We start from the raw sequence: 18,278 nt of genomic DNA on the forward strand, positions 1-18,278 counted from the left end.
AATACAAAAAATTAGCCAGGCATGGTGGCGGGCGCCTGTAGTTCCAGCTACTTGGGAGGCTGAATCAAGAACATCACTTGAACCTGGGAGGCAGAGGTTGCAGTGAGCCAAGATCAGGCCATTGCACTCCAGCCTGGGTAACAGAGTGAGACTCCATCTCAAAAAAAAGAAAAAGGAAAATGGAATCGAAGGCACCCTGAGAAGGAGCTATGTAACTAGAAATACTTTTTTTTTTGACAGAGTCTCGCTCTGTTGCCAGGCTGGAGTGCAGTGGTGCGATCTCAGCTCACTGCAATCTCTGCCTCCTGGGTTCAAGCGATTCTCCTGGCTCAGCCACCCCGAGTAGCTGGGACTACAGGCGCGTGCCACCATGCCCAGCTAATTTTTTGTACTTTTTAGTAGAGACAGGGTTTCACCAGGTTGGCCATGATGGTCTTGATCTCTTGACCTCGTGATCCACCTGCCTTGGCCTCCCAAAGTGCTGGGATTACAGGCGTGAGCCACCGCACCCGGCCAATACCTTATTATTAATGTTTCCATTTCAAAGAACACTTCTAGAGGTTGACATGGGTATTTTAATTTAATTTGTTATCATTTATTATTTACTTAACCATTATTTATGAAAAATGATTACTAAAAATAAAGCCATAAGAGTTCATTTCCCTTCTTTTATCTATAAAGCTTATTACTTAAGTTTACAAAAATTATGAGTTTTTAAAATCTTATTTAACCATACTGACTAATCTTCCCATTAAAAAAGTGTTTTTTGAGAAAGGGTCTCACTCTGCTGCCCAGGCTGGAGTGCAGTGGCTCCATTATGGCTCACTCAGCCTTGACCTCCAAGCTCAGCCTCCTGAGTAGCTGGGACCACAGGTGTTCACTAACACACCCAGCTCATTTTAAAATGTTTTTTGTAGAGATGAGGTCTCACTATGTTGCCCAGGCTGGTCTCAAACTCCTGGGCTCAAGTGATCCTCCTGCCTTGGCCTCTCAAAGTGCTGGGATTATAGGCATGAGCCACTGCACACCTAGCCCCACAAATGTTAACAAACAAACTTTCAACATTCACAAGAAACCTTTCAGCAACATCTAATATTGTGTACATTTTTAATCAAACTATTTTAAAAGTCTGATGTTTTAAAGTATATAAAATTATACATAAAAGTGATCAGGATTTCTGAAACCAGCAAAACCCATGTGTTGTAAAAGGGACAATCAAGTTTCACCTATAAGGATATAACAGTAAGTTATAAAGGTAACAATAGGTGACAATCAAAAATAAAATAAAATAAAATAAAAATCTTTCCAAGGCTCCACTAAGAATAAAACATCTTCTTTTGTCTTTTGTACAACTTTAAAATTCTACTGTTACTGGATAATTTTATATCAAACATAATATTATACCAAATATAAAATTCAGAACTGTGATCTGAATCAGCTACAAAGTAGGCAACATTTTTTAAAGTTATTTGCTCACAACCCTGCACCTGGAAACCAGTTACACTAAGAGAGATTCTGTGCCTCATGCCTGAATCTCAGACGTGAAAGCAGTCATTTGTTATTGTTCGGAGCAACAATTATACTAGATCGGTTCATGATAATAACAGTTTTTTAAATGATGATAATGCCCAATATAGGTAAAATCATTCTAAAAAGTGTCTGGGGGGTTAAGAAAAAAAATCTAGTCCCCAAGGGCAAGTGCTGTCACAGTGAATACTTTAATTTGCCTTAGTGTCAGAGATGTTAATTCAGAGATAATTAAACAAGTATGGTTTTATCGACCAGTTCAATTTTATCTATGTAGCATTCCTTCAGTATAATAGATAGTACTTTTCTTCCAAAGAACATGATCTTTGCTTAAAATGCTGAAACTCTCTTTAATCCTAATGCAGTTACATGTTATTCAAACATCTGCTAGAGTATCTTTTAAGAAATCAAAGCTTGATCATACATAGAATTCTGATTTTTAAAAACAAGAGTTTAAAGAATGAAAAGAGCCATAACACAAATAGCATATTTTGAAATAATCCATCAAATACTGTAAAATACTTTCCACTCATTATACTTAAAGCTAACTATATGTACTTCCAGAACTCTCATATAAAGGCGAAATAAGTGCATGAATAAAAGAAGTAGGCAAAAACAAATCTGTCACAGACATCTGGCACAATCAGCATTAACAAATCTAAATGTTCAACAATTAAAATGTTGAAAAAAGCAAAGTGGAGGTTTTGCTCACTCACAAGATCATTAGGAAACTGCACATCACAATTACTGTTTAGCTCATAACTATAACTATTCTAAAAATAACAAAGACTGCCAAACTTACCTCAATAAAGTCCAATATTCCCATCTGTTTCCCTTTCCTAAATAAACTGAGGAATATTTGTTTATTAGTTCTAAATTATCTACCCTCAACATACTTATATCCAAATGTCAACAAAAAACTTTAATTCTTAAGTATCTTAAAAAACATACTGATTTTACTTTGAAAATTCACCCTTATCTTTCAAATTTCCACATCTCTTAAAAAATACATCTTTCTACCTTTAAGTGTTTGAAACAACCAGAAAAATATAACCTGTGAAGAAATGTGTTTGAATGGAAAAAATAACACATTTGGTCAAAGGTAATAAAAAAACAAGCTTAATAAATTATTAAAGAGCTATGTTACTCAAAGAAAGGTAAAAGATTAAAAAATATTTAGAAAGGTAACATGGAAACATCCATAGCAAGCATTATAACCATATCAGTGATAGCAGAGAAAGTTATTAATATCATTTTTTAAACTTCCAAAAATGTTTTAAGGTAGAAGTGCAGGAAGCAACAAAATATTTTTGGCTTTAGTTTTCAAAGTATTATGCTCCATATGTATATATATATATATATATATATATTTTTTTTTTTTTTTCCTTTTTCTTTTTTTTGAGACAGAGTCTCACTCTGTCACCCAGGCTGGAGTGCAGTGGTACGATCTCAGCTCACTGCAACCTCTGCCTCACGGGTTCAAGCCATTCTTGTGCCTATGTCTCCCAAGTAGCTGGGATTACAGGCATTCGCCACCATGCCCAGCTAATTTTTGTATTTTTAGTAGAGATGAGTTTCTCTATGTTGGCCAGGCTGGTCTTGAACTCCTGACCTCAGGTGATCCACCTGCCTTGGCCTCCCAAAGTGCTGGGATTAGAGGTGTGAGGCACCACACCCAGCCTTATATTTCTATCCCAAATTTGTTCCTCTATAGCTTCCCCTAACATAAACAATTAAAAATATATAAGGACTATAAAGAAGTTTTTTTTTGTTTGTTTTTATTTTTAAATTGTATTTTTTTTCTTTTCTATTATGCCCTGCCTGGAAACTGCCTTATTTTTTACTGGTTAAAAACCAAATCACTGAACTAGGTAGTGAGAAAGTAATTTAAATTAAAAATTTTTTGAAGGTGCTGTACGCTTCCTATACCCCTGTTTTTGTTACAATATCCATAGTAAACTCCAAAAATCTATTGAAAGAAAATATAGACATGATAACTGAATGATAAACTTTTTAAAAATTTTTCTTTCCTTTTTTTGAGACAAAGTCTCGCTCAGTTGCCCAGGCCGCAATCTCGGCCCACTGCACCCTCCACCTCCCAGGTTCAAGAGATTCTCCTGCCTCAGCATCCCGAGTAGCTGGGATTACAGGCATGGCCACCACTCCCGGGTAATTTTTGTATTTTTCTGTGTAGACAGGGTTTCACCCTGTTTGCCAGGCTGGTCTCGAACTCCTCAGCTCAGGTGATCTGCCCACCTCAGCTTCCCAAAGTGCTGGGATTACAGGCGTGAGCCACTACACCCAGCCAAGTTCTGCTTTTAATAAAAATTTACAGAAGGTATAATTCAATCTCTGTGCCTATTAAGATCAGTAAGAATGACAAGAATACAAAAATCTATACATTTGTATCATGAGAACCAAAATACTTTTCATTAAAGAACATTGAGGATAATCCAAGTATGAAAAGAAAAAACAAGTATTAATAATAAAAAATACTTCGAAACTCCTTTCTGAGCTAATATTTATTAGCTTTTAGGTGATAAAATCTCTTGGATGAGGTGTAATACAAAACCTCCCTTTAGGAAGATTCTTCTCCTCAGTTACAAATTATGAATTTGATCCTTCTGACTAAACAATTAGAGACCTTATTTCAGTTTTATAAATCTTAAAATGTCTTTTAGAGAATGTTTAAAGAAAAGTATTTTTCAAGATAATTTTTCTTTCTAGGCAACAATTGTTTTTAGAGGTTTATTCTTAAAAATCCCACTACAATCTCAATTATTCGAAACTTTTACTCCTCTAAATGGATTTTTTCATCCTCAGTATTAAATTCATCTACCAAGATTTTTTGACATTTTTAAGTGAGAAATATTTTAAGTACATATTTTTCCTTAGTAGAAATAACAAACCATTAAGTTTAATAATTCTATAAGATGGCCTACAGTTAAATTTTTGGCAAAGCTGGACTCTCTCCTAGAATAATTTTTTTTTTACAAAATTTCAACTACAAAGTATAATTTTACCAAAAAACTACATCATATAAGCATATCTCCAACTTGAAACAAAATCCCCTAAAAGCCCAAGACTCTAGGATGCATAAAACTAAAAGGGTTAGGCTAGATAAACCATACGTTTTGAGAACATACAAGCCAACAGAAGGGATCTATGAAGGATAATCACCTTAAGAGAAAAAACTTTGTGCAGATGACACTGGTTCAAATGCATTCCCTTGGGGAAAAAAAATCAACTCTGTAAAGATAGCAGATGGATTTGTTTAAATAGTAATAAAATTAACGAGGGACTTTAATTACCATCACAAATTATAAAGCATGCAACCACACTAAACAAACAATGGCATTTTTTTTTTTTTGCCCATACAGCATGTTTGTCAGAATACTGACACATGGAAATTTCAAGCTTTTTTAGTTCACAGGCATTTAGATCTTGCAATAAAACATAGTGTGGGAAAAAATAGTTTTTACTTTCAGTTCAGCAAGAAAGTCAAAGAGCTTCCAAGGGCTTACCACTGGTGGATCAACAGGTGCTGGTGGTTGCACTTGTAGGTTTACCGCAACAGTCTGTGGAGGAGGAAGAGTCTGAAATGGCAACTGGACCAAAGCTTCTGCAGCTGGAAGTTCCTCTTCTGACACCAAAGCATTCTGCACCAAAACCTGGCCCTGGGACAGAATTTCAGGCTGCACTTGTAAAGACTGCATAGACTGCAAGGGCAGTGGTGGAATCTGAGCTGGAGGAGATGTCGACATCTGTGGAGGACTTGCAATTGGGATTGGAGAGGACTGCAGGGATGAATATTGCTGGTGTGATGGAGAGACAATCTGCTGGCCTGGGGATACCAAGGCAGACTGCTGAACTGGGCCAATGTGTACAACAGGGGAAGCTGGAAGTGGAAGATGGGATGGAAGATTCAACTGTGCTGTAGCTTGCACCTGATTAGCAGTGGACTGCTGCAAATTTGGCCCTGGCTGGAGAGCTGATGACACAAGAGGGTGTGGCTGAATAAGTGCTTGTGGATGAATAATTATAGTAGGAGACTGACTTGGTGAATGAGGTGGTGGAGGAGACACCACTACAGACTGCTGTGCTGACTGTGACTGATTAGGAGACACTGTTAAAGGAGAGGGATGACTCTGAATCGGTGAACAATGCTGTGACTGGGCATTACTGGGAGCTGGAGGAAGGCCATGGTTCTGGAGTGGTATACAGTGCTGGGATGGGGGTGGGTCTTGAGTTGAATTCTGAAGTGTGATTGGCTGAATTTGCTGTTGCTGCTGTTGTAATATCAGCTGATGATGGGAAACTTTGGAAGGTGGTGAATGAAGAGGAATCTGCTGATGTTTTATTAGAGAATGAGGCTGAATTGGAGAATATGAAGCTGTGAGAGAAAAAAATGACAATTAGTACTGATTTCAAAAATACAGAAATTTTTAAATCACTCTAAAGGAAAAAGTGTTCATTATCAGAAGGTCATAATCATCAGAATTCTATTACAAGTTTTCCAAACAAGAGTAATTTGAAAAAAAAAAAATTTTTTTTTTTGAGACAGAGTCTTGCTCTTGTCACCCAGGCTGGGGTGCAGTGGCATGATCTCAGCTCACTGCAACCTCCACCTCCCTGGTTCAAGCGATTCTCCTGTCTCTGCCTCCGGAGTAGCTGGGATTACAGGTGCCCGCTACCACACCCGGCTAACTTCTGTATTTTTAGTAGAGACGGGGTTTCACCACGTTGGCCAGGCTGGTCTTGAAACCTGACCTGAAGTGATCCTCCCAACTCAGCCTCCCAAAGTGCTGGGATTACTAGCGTGAGCCATCACGCCTGGCCTGAATATTTAATGACAATTTATAGTTGGAAAACTAGAAAATATCATAAAATACACTGTACTGTGATAAGTTCTAAAAGAAAACTGCCTAAAACTTAATAATCTGAATCTATACATGGTTTGTTCTTATTATATTTTATAGGTCACCTGAATATCTACATTAACTTTTAGCAAAGTTTATACACTTGAATTTCTTCTTTGCAGGAAAAGAGGAGTATCATCATAGAACAAGTATAACATATATAAAGATAACTTCAAAATCATAAAAATACTATATTAAAATTCATAAAATAAAGATCTCATCCTTTCTAATCCATATCTAAACGTGCTTCCAACTAATAGGGTAATTACTTATAAAGCTTCCCAAATGAGTTTCCATTTTTGAGCTGAGATGAGGGTATATATATCATTTGACCCAGGAAGAGAAAATATTTTGTATAATAATCTAATGTGATTAAGCAAAAGACGTGTGTGAATCCTGTAGCACAGTTAATTAATCACTGTAACTAAGAACTCAAATTTAGGGGCCATTCCAAATCTAGGAAAACACTAGTTTTGCTTGCAGAGAATGAGACAATCAGAAGCCCATGCTACCTAAATAAGGGATTTTGTTAACCCTTTTCCCTCACCAAAAAAAAACTTCAATAATTGATGTGACAGTATGAGGTTTTCTCCACAAAGAAGCCACTCAACAGGAATAAATATATGTAAGAATTAGCACAGTCAAGTGGTAGGGAGCCCCCCATCATGCCTTTTCTGCAAACTGGTGGCACATGTTTATAGAAAGGGAGATGCTGATGAAATCCTAAGTAAGAATGGAAACTGAGTTCACAAGAAGATAAACTGAAACAATTGCTTAATGTTAATATCATGTAAAAATTACACACATTTAACACAGATTTAAAGACAGGGCAATTTTTTTTTTCCTAACCTTGGAATATTAGGAGAAAGACTATATTATACCTTACATCTATTTTTGTGTTCAACCACATTTGTGACAACTTTATAAAAACTTTCCACAACTTTTTAAAAAAAATTTTCACATTTGGTTATTATTTAAAATTTTTGGAATCCTTTAAAGAAATTAACATCTGATTAACATCCAAAAAAGAGGCGTTTGGAAAGTTCAATAAATATCCACTAATTGTTAAAAAAAAAAAAAAAAAAGGAAATCAAGTCAACAAAATAATTTTCATATAAGTATCTAGGCTAGTACTTCACACTAAGACTGAAAATTTTATGTCAGTCTTTTAAAACTGTGTTGATATAGACTATGCTAAACAGTATTCAAAAAGGGTAAATTAACAAAATCTTGGATTTCTACAGCGTGCCCTTCATCCAAGGGGCTGAAAGTGCTTTCACGTGTCTCTCATTCATACTTACAAAATGCCTGTGGTATAGGTGGGTATTATTATTTCCCTCTTACAGATAAGTAAATAGATTTTTTTGCAAGCATAACAGCAAGGGCCCACTTCAATTCAATTTTGTAAGTAAAGCTTTAATTTAAATTTACCATACTGTTGAAGTACCAGTATGGTACTAGAATAACAATTCTGGCTGGGCGCAATGGCTCATGCCCGTAATCCCAGCATTTTGTGAGGCTGAGGTGGGAGGATCACCTGAGGTAAGGAGTTCAAGACCAGCCTGGCCAACATGGTGAAACCCCATCTCTACTAACAATACAAAAATTAGCCGGGCTTGGTAACACACGCCTGTAATACCAGCTATTACTCAGGAGGCTGAGGTGGGAGAATTGCTTGAACTCGGGAGGCGGAAGTTGCAGTGATCTGGGATCGTGCCATTGCACTCCAGCCTGGGCAACAGAGGGAGACGCCATCTCAAAAAAAAAGAATAACAAATCTTTCTATGCTCTGGTAAGTAAGCAATCTTTTTATATCTTAGAGCTGTGACAATTCAACAGATTAGCAATCTATCCTTTCATCTAAATTACATTTTTCTTTGATCAGAAATCAAAGTGTGTTTATTTTTAGTCCATAAGACCAATTGATAAGCACATATATTACAGAATAATTAGGTGGCTATGTGAAGCAATACCTCTGTAAAAGAAAAGACCTAGTGCTCTGGGAAAAAAAATCCTATCATGTTGGTTAATTTCTCTGATTTTAATAAACATCTTATTGTCAGGATGGCTTTAAATTCAGAGAATTAATGGCTGACATCTCTCACATATATATATAATTCTATTATTTACAGTAACACATATTATTTCACCCAGTAACTACAACAACCCCATGAAGGTGATAGGGTACTATACCAATCCAACATACGACAGATGAAGAAACTGTGAGTAGTTAAGTGACTTGCCCAAAATCATCTGGCTATTAAGGACAGCATTAGGTCTAAAAGAACCTATGATCCTAACTGAGTCTAGGGCCCTGTTATGGACTGAATGTTTGTGGCACAAAATTCGTATGCTGAAGCCCTAACTCCCAATGTGTATTTGTAGATGGGGCCTCTAAGGAAGTAACAAAGGTTAAATGAGGTCATAGGGTGGGGCCCTGACATGACATGGTTTGTGCCCTTTTAAGAAAAGACATCAGAGAGCTTCTGCTCCCTCCACCCACCACACACTCAAGGCCATGTGAGGACATCTGCAAGCCAGGAAGTGAGCCTTCACCAGAAACTGAACACTGCCAGACCTCGATCTTGGGCTTTCCAGCCTCCAGGACTGTGAGAAAATTAATTTCTGCTCTTTAAGCCACAGTCTATGGTATTTTGTTATGGCAGCTGGAGCAGATTGATTAATACAGGACCTTCTCACTACACAATGAATTAATGTCTACAAAAAACAGTATATATTTTTTCCAATTAAGCTAGTTTCATAAAAGCTCTAAAAACTGTGATAGAAAAACTTCAGCTCTAATACAGTTCATGTTTCCAAACATTTAAAGTTTGACCTTATTTTACATATTAAAAATAGAATTTACTATGTATCAAGTGGAAACTCCACCTTCAAAAAGAAATGATAAAGAAAACCAAGTTACTTTGGCACCCTAAAAATACATATAAGAAAACAATAACCATGTATACTATAATAATTAGACTATACTACATTAGAATACAAGTAGATTTTTTTACATTTAAAATGACTTGAAGGAACATTTTTCTAATTGAGGACAAATAATCAATTGAGAATATCTCAAAATATCTTCGCTTCAGATTAACTTTTTTTTTTTTTTTTAGATGGAGTCTCGCTCTTTTGCCAGGCAGGAGTGCAGTGGTGTGATCTCGACTCACTGCAACCTCCGCCTCCCAGGTTCAAGCGATTCTCCTGCCTCAGCCTCCAGAGTAGCTGGAATTACAAGAGCGCGCCACCATGCCTGGCTAATTTTTGTATTTTTAGTAGAGACGGGGTTTCACCATGTTGGCCAGGATGGTCTCGATCTCTTGACCTCATGATCTGCCCGCCTCAGCCTCCCAAAGTGCTGGGATTACAGGCGTGAGCCACCGTGCCAGGCCAAGATTAACTTCTTACCAATAAAAGCAGAAAAACTAAAAAGGTGAAAAATATAGCTATAGCCTTAATAGAAGATATGAATGGCTTTGAATAACTGCAGTGTAAGGCTTAAGAAACTTTTAAGTAGTTCAGGATTTTCTGCGTGGTTTGTTTATAATCAACAACATCAAGGAAAATTGGAGTATATGTAAGATCTGAATTTGGACTTAAAACTGACCTGAGACTCTGGTGGTTTTGGCTTACTGGTTTCCTCCATACTTACACAAGATATTGACCATCAGAGGAATGCAAACTATAAGCATATTATCACACTATTAATGAAAGAGGGGAGAATAAGCTGCAATTCAGAACCAGATATTGAGAGTTAAGGGGGACTGAAAAATCCAAAACTAGATTTCCTTGCTTGAACTAACCCTGAAAGAGTTCCCGGCTTTCTCTGAAAGTAACGTTCTCTTTAGAAAGAAATCAATCTACCTTTCATTATAATTTATCAAAACTGCAGGAATCACTAGAAATTGTCCCTGAGCAGTCATCCTAAGGACCATGGGTCACCATTGCTCCACACTGTCAAAACTAGCCAGACGCTGGTTTGAGGCTGAGAATACTCTGTACAGTAGTGTAAAAACCCAGCTTTTATGCCATACAGAGAGCAGCGCCTAGCACACAGAGGTTTAAAAAAAAAAAATAAGAATTCGTGTCTAACTATACTACGAATATATATATATATATTTTTGAGACGGAGTCTTGCTCTGTCACCCAGGCTGGAGTGCAATGGGGCGATTCCGGCTCACTGTAACCTCCACCTCCCCGGTTCAAGTAATTCTCCTGCCTCAGCCTCCCATGTAGCTGGGACTACAGGTGCCGGCCACTACGCACGGCTAATTTTTGTATTTTTAGTAGAGACGGGGTTTCACCATGTTGGTCAGGCTGGTCTAGAACTCCCGACCTGAGGTGATCTGCCCTCCTCAGCCTCCCAAAGTGCTGGGATTATAGATGTGAGCTACCGCGCCCAGCTTGAATATATTTATTAATTTATACATTATATCAAAGCCTACTTACATAAGATTCAGATTTAACAATTCTAAGTATAGTGATACCTAATTAGTACCAATAAGAAAGACTGCAATAATTCCCAAAATCCAAGTGGGAAAAAAAAATGAACTATTAATCCAACAAATATGTACCTCCTACCTAACATACGTAAGTACGTATAAGATACAACTTAGTGCTGTCAAGATACAAGGATGAAAAGATGAATCCAAAAAGGGATTAAAGAGTTAATGTAAAGTACTAACACAGTGCCTCACACATACATAAATGCCCAATATTATTATCTTACCCTCAAGGAGCTTACTATCTAGCAGACAAGCTAAGATCAGTATATAAGTAACTATAAAGGAAAGAGAACCAGAAGGGACCATAAAAGTTCAGAGGGAGGAGAAATTTCTAACTAGGGTAATCAGACAATGCCACAGTATTGAGATTCAGTGATGTAGAGAATGCTGGCAGTATTAACACAGGAAACTTGAGAAGTGAAATAGGTTTAAGTGGAATATTTTACACTTACACCTAAGTATAAAACAAGTCTTTAAAAAGCAAAGCAGCGTTGTAAAAGGACAGAAAAAAGATGCTTACCCGATGAGGTTGCTGGAACAAAGGAAGTTTTTTGTTTGTTTGTTTGTTTGTTTGTTTTTGAGACAGAGTCTTGCTCTGTCGCCCAGGCTGGAGTGCAGTGGTGCAATCTTGGCTCACTGCAACCTCCGCCTCCTAGGTTCAAGTAACTCTCATACCTCAGCCTCCCAAGTAGCTGGGACTACAGGTGTGCACCACCATGCCCTGCTAATTTTTGTATTTTTAGTAGAGATGGGTTTTCACCATGTTGGCCAGGCTGGTCTCAAACTCCTGACCTCAAGTGATCCACCCACCTCAGCCTCCCAAAGTGCTGGGATTACAGGCGTGAGCCACTGCACCCGCCCAGATTTTTTTTTTTAATGAAACATTTGTAAGGTGTATAGCCCAGTGCAACACACATACACATACACACACACTCAAACAATATATAGTTATAGTGATTTAGAAAACTATGCAGCTACATTAAGAATAAGGGAGACCTAATTATGGTTGAGAAACAAAGGAAAAGGTCTAGCATGAGAAGATAAAAGACGCTGTAACAATTATGTACTAAAGAAGGTCAGGAAATTTAAAAAAAAAAAGGTAGGATCAACAACAGGGGCAAATGGTGCTAAGTTTAAGAATACATGTAACTCTTTATCTTATCAAAAGTAAACAAAATTCAATCCTGAGAAATTCTGAGATGAACAGAAGAGACAGTAAGCTCACTCTGGATGGCCCCCACATTTTCAGTATGAGAACCATGAGGCAAGATTATCTGGATAAAGTAAAGGAAGCAAAGGTAGAATTCAAAGCTTGAGAAGAATGACAGTGACTCAGGTGATTGCCTGAGATGATCCTCTCAGAGATGAAATCAAAGGCAGAAAAAGACAACAACATAAGGAAAATAATTATGCATAATCCTATGTTTCAAAGTGACAAATTTCTCCCACTGATAACAACTTTAAACAAAATAGTATACTGCTTTTTTAAAAGCTTTAAAAATTATCCCACTGAAGTATATTAAATAAACTACAGGCAAATCTTTTTTTAAAGATAGAAGGTTTTATCAATATAAGGAGAGACCAGTGCTTAAAGATGATAATCAAATGTAATTTGATTTTAAAAAACCTATTATATTGTTACAATTTATTTTATCTTTTGGGCTTTTTTGTCTCTTTTCAAGCTACACATTAAGATTAAGTTTATAAAATTCACATTTTAAAATGTTTTAAAGGTGTCACTCCTGTTCAAGTCATGAACATCCTTTGTTTTGCTCTGTCTGCTAAGAAAATGAATAATACAACTATTTTCAACAAAAGTTTTATCCCACCTGGTGCTATTAACTGGTGAATACTTGATGTCCGGGTGACAGCTGTGCTTCGTGATTCCAGGCTTGGGCTCTCTCCTTTCTTATTACTTTCTGGAGAAGGATCTCGTTGGCTGATTTTAGAACTGGTCACTGTTGTTTTGTTATGACAAATTGTCAATGACTGAGTTTGACTAGTGCTTTTTGGTGGACCATTCTGTGAGCTAGATAATACACCCAACTTCTGGCTGCGTAATGTTAAATTCTGAACCTAAGAACCACATAACAGAAAATTAGGATGAAAACAGATGGTTTTAATTGATGTGGTCATCATTACCATTATGACAATACTGACAACACATTTATATTATGCTTTTCATACGTAAAGCTCCAAGCACTTGAAAGAACTGATTAATCCTTAAGGAAAGGAGAGTTATTATTCTAAGTAATCACATCTTAAATATTAAGTGGCAATTTTTTAAAAGACATAAGAGAAAAGAAAAGAGGGAGGGAGAGAAAAAAAAGAAAGGAAGAGAGGGAAGAAGAAAGGGGGAGGGAAGGGGAGGAGAAGGGAAGGATCATAAAGAACTAAATAAAAGCAGTATGTATATATATATACAGACAGTGTGTGTATTATATATGTATGAACTGTGAATATGAGGAAATTACTCTGCAACATACTGCATTTAAAAGTTACCAGTTCTAGCTATAGAGATTAAGGGGACATTAACCTTGTAAGAAAATTAATTCATCAAATCATCTGCCCCATTGTGAAAATTATGAAAAGCATTTTCAAGCAACTCTTTTAATTTAGTAAAATTTTGGTGGTGGTGTTATTGAACATTCACTGCCTTTGAAAACTACATCTCATGAACTGAAAAGACTCTGCATGACCCTGAAATGGCTTTCTATGGTGGCTCCTGCTACACTCAGGGCTATATGAAACATACTGCCAGTCTGGATGGTAGCAAGGATTATCCCAATTAATCTCAGCTGAGATTTATAACCTTTCCAAACAGCAAGATGCAAGACAGAAAAATGCTGCTCCAAAAGTTGCTGAACTTCTTGCCTATCTAGAATGAATGTATCAAATATATGCAGGCTAGCACTGGCCCTGGGAGAGAAACTGAAATAAAAGAGACTCCGAAGTGATCAAGCAAATGATATACTGCTGCTTTATAAAAACATTCTTCAGTTTCATGTGTGTTCCGTCTCTACATCATTAACTGATGCTCAAAAGCTATACCTTCTCCCAGCACTTTGGGAAATCGAGGCAGGCAGATCACCTGAGGTAAGGAATTCAAGACCAGCCTGGCCAACATGGTGAAACTCCATCTCTACTAAAGATACAAAAATTAGCCAGGCGTGGTGGCACGCACCTGTAGCCCCAGCTACTCAGAAGGCTGAGGCAGGAGAATCACTTGAACCCAGGAGGCAAAGGGTGCAGTGAGCCAGATGGCACCACTGCACTCCAGCCTGGGCAACAGAGCGAGACTCTGTCTCCAAAACAAGCTGTCCTTTCTCAGGCTGGGTGTGGTGCCTCGCACCTGTAATCCCAGCATTTTGGGAGGCCGAGGTGGGTGGATCACTTCAGGCCAGGAGTTCCAGCCTCACCAACACGGCAAACCTGTCTCTACTAAAAATACACAAATTAGCCAGGCATGGTGGCGCATGCCTGTAATCCCAGCTACTCGGGAGGCTGAGGCATGAACTGCTTGAGCCTGGGAGGCGGAGGCTGCAGTGAGCCAAGATATTGCGCCATTGCCCACAAGTCTGGGTGACAGAGCAAGACTCTGTCTCAAAAAAACAAATAAATAAATAAATAATTTTTTAAAAAAGCTATACTTCAGGCCAAACTTTTCATCAGTTCTATTCTAAGCTACTCAAAGAATTTTCTAATTGAAACCATATGGAGTGTCTTCTCTGATTTTTCTCAAATATTTCATACCAATGTAAACATAAATGGACTAATAACCACTGCATTATTAAAGTTTAACGCAAAAACAAAATATACTGACTGGGTGTGGTGGCTCACGCCTGTAATCCCATCACTTTGGGAGGCTGAGGCAGGCGGATCACAAGGTCAGGAGTTTGAGAGCAGCCTGGCCTATTTGGTGAAACACCGTCTCTACTAAAAATACAAAAATTAGCCAGATGTGGGGGCAGGTGCCTGTAGTCCCAGCAGCCCAGGAGGCTGAGGCAGGAGAATTGCTTGAAACCCGGAGGCAGAGGTTGCAGTGAGCTGAGATCACACCACTGCACTCCAGCCTGGGCAACAGAGCAAGACTCTGTCTCAAAAAAAAAAAAAAAAAAAAAGATAAGAAAAAGAAATATTAGAATCTAGATTTCTCAGATTGCCACTCAAAGCCCTCCACAACCTAGGCCAAAACCCACTTCAAGCCCCCAGTTTCTAGTCCTCCAGCCTACAGTTCTCATATTCCACCCAAACTGTTCTGCTCACTATTCCCCAAATATACCTTCCACTTCCTTCATTTGGAGCTCTTATTCAAGCACTTCTTGACTAAATGCCATCTTTTCTCAAAGCTGTCTTTTGAAGCCAAACCCATTCTTCCAAGCCCAGTAAAATCCCTCTTTCCCTACTTAAGAAACATTCTGAAAGTCCCTGGTTAGAAAAGAGTTTCTTCCTTCTAGAACAACTTTCCCATAGCATTTGGGTCATTACTGGCCTATAGCACAGATGAATATCTAACTTGTTTTAGAATTACTAAATGTATGTTTGTCTGTGAAATACTGAGACTCGCTAGTAGACTCTCATCTCAACATTCATTTTTATACTCCCTGCAGTTCGGTGCTGCAGACTTAACAGATGAGGTATTCTCCTATATATGATTTTGAAATATATATTACATGGCTAATTTTTTGGTAAGCACTTAGTTCTCTTCATCGTGTTCTTAGGCTAACATTAAAATCTGTTCATGTTTACCAAAAACATCAACAAGTATCTAGAAGAGGCACATTAAAATCTTCCAGGAAGCAAGAGAAAGACAATATAAAATTTAACATTTGACACAAATGATCTATAAAGTAGACTGCATAGTAATGATAACCAAAGGGTAATAATCTGAAAAACCTGAAATGAAAAGTATATTCACAGTAAACAAGGATTTGACACAATGAACCCGAAACCTGCAGCATATCCATTTCTATAGAATAATACTCCTTTTGTTTTTAATTTTCCTTTTCTGGAATTCTGAAGGAAAATGTTTATATACTTACATACACTATGTTGTATATATATTATTTATGTGAACATATATATTTTAGAATATGGTTAAAATATCTATGATCATTTTGACTTAAACATTGACATGGTTTAAATAAATTCCAAACATGAACGCTACACTGCCAAAGTATATTACAAAGTTAATTTAGCTGTTAGTGAAAAGATAACATATACGGATTTCCTTGACAGAGCCTCCCTTTTGAAAGAAAACCCATCCTTTCTAAGAAGAAGAATATTAGGGCACTCTGGTGTCCCACATTCATTTCATCTGAACCTTTCCTTTGATCAAGTTATGAAAACTTTCTGGCTTTTGAAAAAGTCTACATTTTGCCTGAGTTATTTTTGCTAATTTCACATCTCACACTGTTATAGAGGGCTTCCCTGCCAAAATACTCTCACATCAATTATTTAACTGGAATCTAACAAATACTATGGCAATTATCATAGTATCCCTAAGAGTGAGGGTCACATTGCTGACAGTAGAGCTGAGTTTTTAGCTTTTAAATCCAAAGGGTTGTTTTTTTCCTCAATTCTAAGAGTATTCCCCAGATAGCCTTACTGGGGAATACTCTTAGAATTGAGGAAAAAAACAGCCCTTTGGATTTACTGGGTCAGATTTCTTTTTCTTTTTTACTTTTTTTGAGACAGAGTCTCACTCAGGCTAGAGGGCAGTGGTTCAATCTCAGCTCACTGCAACCTCCACCTCCTGGGTTCAAGCAATTCTCCTGCCTCAGCCTCCTGAGTAGCTAGGACTACAGGCTTGTGCCACCATGTCTGGCTAATTTTTCTATTTTTAGTAAAGATGGGGTTTCGCCATGTTGGCCAGGCTCATCTCAAACTTCTGGCCTCAAGTGATCCACCCATCTCAGCCTCCCAAAGTGCTGGGATTACATGCGTGAGCCACTGTGCCAGCCTCTGGGTCAGAGTTCTTACTCATTTCTTTTTCTTTTTTTTTTTTTTTTTTTTTTTTTTTGAGACAGAGGCTTGCCCTGTCACCCACGCCGGACTGTAGTGGTGCGATCTCGGCTCACTGCAACCTCCACATCTCGGGTGCAAGCGATTCTCCTGCCTCAGCCTTGCAAGTTAGCCAGGCTGTTTACAGATACCCACCACCACACCTAGCTAATTTTTGTATTTTTAGTAGAGACGGGATTTCACCATGTTGGCCAGGCTACTCTCAAACTCCTGACCTCAAGTGATCTGCCTGCCTTGGCCTCCCAAAGTGCTGGGATTACAGGCATGAGCCATTATGCCCGGCTCATCTCTTAACACACTCTGCCCTATAACATCTTTCCAAAAATCTTTTTTTATGTGGGTGTGCCTGGTGGGGAGAAGGAATGGAGCATTTAACATAGTAAATAAAAGTGAGATATTCCAAATTTCTCATTTTTACACTATGGTATAAGAATGTTTAATACTAAGGAAAAATTAACTGTTGTACTGACTTCTATAGCTTAAAGAATATTAAAATACAACTTCAGATTTGGTATTTCACAATTAAAATAAAAATTTTAACTGCAAATATAATTCTAAAACTCAACAAAGTTATGCAGAAATTTTCCAAAACAGTCTTGAACTTGACGAAAGTTATCACTGGAATGCATAAGTGTGAGCATCACCTACCAATGCCAGACTCACTCACTGCCATTTCAAAAGCACAGAGAAGAGAAACAATATCCATAGAGAAATTCCTAAAGTTCAATCCATTCCTCTAGCCCCTCAAAAATCTATCTTTGAATTAAGTCCGATCACAGAGGCTCATAATTAGAACACATCAATCTGGACCCCAAAGACCACTTTTATAAATTATTTTGACTCTATTCACATTAAAAATACCTTTAAATATGAAGTAAGATGTTTTCTTCATGAGTACCAGCAAGAAAAATTGTGCTCCTCAGAACATGTTAAAATCAGCTGTGTTTTCCTAAGCAGCTGGTTTGTTTGTTTCACCTTGGAAACTATAAATTCTTTTTTTGTTTTGTTTTGTTTTTGAGACAGGGTCTCACTTTGCTACCCAGTCTGGAATGCAGTGGCTCGATCTTGGCTCACTGCAGCCTCGACCTCCTGGGCTCAAGCAATCCTCCCACCTCAGCCCCCCAGGTAGCTGGGACTACAGGCCCGCACCACCACGCCCTGCAAATTTTTTGTATAGATGGGGTTTTGCCATGTTGACCAGGTTGGTCTCGAACTCCTGAGCTCAAGCAATCCACCAGCCTCTGCCTCCCAAAGAACTAGGATTACAGGTGTGAGCTACCTCGCCCGGCCTGTAAAT

At 37.9% G+C, this 18,278-nt stretch overlaps 1 protein-coding gene across 23 annotated transcripts in view; it reads right to left on the bottom strand.

The window, feature by feature from the left end:
- PHC3 (polyhomeotic homolog 3) overlaps window positions 1-18,278 on the bottom strand; it is a 94,150-nt gene that overhangs the window by 36,049 nt on the left and 39,823 nt on the right. For 10 of the 23 annotated variants that reach the window (XM_047448987.1, XM_047448984.1, NM_001437996.1 and 7 more), the window contains 3 exons: window positions 12,787-13,033; window positions 5,052-5,920; window positions 4,708-4,755 (listed from right to left, as the gene is read on the bottom strand). In XM_047448987.1, coding sequence (XP_047304943.1) covers window positions 4,708-4,755; window positions 5,052-5,920; window positions 12,787-13,033 — 1,164 coding nt within the window. Of the gene's footprint in view, window positions 1-2,351; window positions 2,376-4,701; window positions 4,777-5,051; window positions 5,921-12,786; window positions 13,034-18,278 lie in introns of those variants that run through there. The other 13 variants (NR_199370.1, NR_199371.1, XM_047448988.1 and 10 more) reach the window with 3 other exon arrangements.

Source organism: Homo sapiens, chromosome 3, assembly GCF_000001405.40.
Source record: "Homo sapiens chromosome 3, GRCh38.p14 Primary Assembly".
In the NCBI taxonomy this organism is placed as follows: domain Eukaryota; kingdom Metazoa; phylum Chordata; class Mammalia; order Primates; family Hominidae; genus Homo; species Homo sapiens.